At 43.4% G+C, this 1,918-nt stretch overlaps 1 annotated feature.

Annotated features, from left to right (window-relative positions):
- Window positions 317-817: an enhancer, noted in NCBI's record as "H3K27ac hESC enhancer chr13:80310911-80311411 (GRCh37/hg19 assembly coordinates)". NCBI's record gives its function as "activates a minimal SCP1, AML or CMV promoter by ChIP-STARR-seq in naive H9 embryonic stem cells {active_cell/tissue: H9 hESC(naive)}" and the evidence as "EXISTENCE:reporter gene assay evidence [ECO:0000049][PMID:30033119]".

A 1,918-nucleotide genomic window follows, 5' to 3' on the forward strand; every position in this document is an offset into this window, starting at 1 on the left:
CCCAGGTCAGGAGGCCCCACCCAGTAAGGAGAAGTGGATTGGGGACCTGTGTAGAAAGTGGTCTGGCCACTTTTTCTGTGGGATGGCTGCATTGTGCTGGGAATCCACACCTGCCCTTAGTCATCATGCACCCTCCAGAGCCTGAAGGCAACAATGACAAAGATTGTGAGACAGCAGAAATTGTAGCTTGCCTTTCCCTGTTAGAGCTCGGTCCTAGGGAAGTGCAGGGCTGCTACCAGCTGGAAAGCCCTGTCAGGGGTGGCTGGAGTTTTGGGTTGGGAGGTCCCACCCAGTGAGGAGAAGCACTTAAAAAACAGCCTGGCCACTTTTCTGGGGGGTGGTTGTGTTGCTCTGGGAATCCGTAGCTGTCCCTAGTCACCGTGCACCCTTCAGAACCTGAAGGCAACAGCAATGAGGGCTGAATGACAGCAAAAAATGGAAGTTTGCCTTTTCCTGTTGGAGCTCCATCTCAGGAACGTGCATAGCTGCTACTGGCCTGAGAACCCTAGTTGGGAGTGGTTGGAGTCCCAGGTTAGTGGGCTTTATTCTGTAAGGTGCAGTAGGGGTGAGGCCTGAAGTTCATTGCTGATCATGGATTTGGCCTCTTTCTTGGGAGTGTGTGAGGGAGCCTGACCTCCACTCTTGCTGGAGCTGTAGCCACTAATGCTGGGATGCCCAGGGGTCCAAGGCTCCCATGACTCTGCATGTGGCTTAGTGGTGGCCCTGCCCAGACTTCATATAGTTCCGTGAGACAGTCTGAAGGTACCAGTGGGATGGGCTCACAAAGGGATCTACTGAGCCCAGGGTTGCAAAGGTCCACAGAAGAAGTATGGGTCCCTGAGGGCTCTCACTCACTCAACACTTCTCCACAGTAGGGAAGCCTGCCCTGGCTTTGTGCCACTTCCAGGTGGGTAGTCAGCCTGTCTCACTCCTCTCCATTCTCTATGGGTCAAGTTCTTTTCTTGATGAATCCCAATATGTCTACCTGGATGTTTCAGTTGAAGATCTAGCGTTTATGTGCCAGTTTTTATTCTCTCTGTGGGAGCGGTGTACACTAGCTGCTTCTAGTCAGCCATGTTGGCCCTAGCTTTTTCTCGTTTCTTCTTGGTTAAACTAGCTAGTGGTCTATAAATTTCTCTTTTATTTTTAATTCTTTCAAAGAGACAGCTTTTCATTTTGTTCATCCTTTGTATCCTTTTTTTGGTCTCAATCTCATTTAGCTCTGTGCTGATTTTTATTTCTTGTCTTATGCTAGCTTTGGGTTTGGTTCGTTCTTGTTTATCTTGTTCATAGAGGCATGACAATAGGTTTTTAATTTTAGATCTTTCTGTCTTTTTGATGTAGTCATTTAATACTGTGGCCTTTCCTCTTTGCACTGCTTTTGCTGTATCTCAGACATTTTGGTAAGTGTGTCTCTAGTTTCATTCATTTCTAATTTTTTTTAATTTCTGACTTGATTTTGTTGTTTACTCAAAAGTCATTCAGGAACAATTTGTTTAGTTTCCATGTACTTGTGTAGTTTTTAGAGCTTCTCTTGGTATTAATTTTTAATTTTATTCCACTACGGCCTGAGAAGATAATCAATATGATTTTGATTTTTTTGAATTTATTGAGATTTTCTTTATAGCCAAGCATGTGGTCAATTTTACAGAATGTTCCATGTGCAGATAAAAAAGATATATATTCTACAGTTGTTACGTACAATATTCTATAAATGTCTATTAGAACTATTTGGTCTATAGTACAGTTTATGTCCAGAATTTCTTTGCTGACTTTCTGCCTTAATGGCCTATTACTGTCATTGGGGTGGGGAAGTCCTTCACTATTATTGTATTGCTTTCAATCTCTCTTCTTAGATCTAGTAGTATTTGTTTTATGAATCTGGATTTTGGGTGTGTATACATTTAGGATAGTTAAA

This window comes from Homo sapiens, chromosome 13, assembly GCF_000001405.40.
Source record: "Homo sapiens chromosome 13, GRCh38.p14 Primary Assembly".
Classification (NCBI taxonomy): Eukaryota; Metazoa; Chordata; class Mammalia; order Primates; family Hominidae; genus Homo; species Homo sapiens.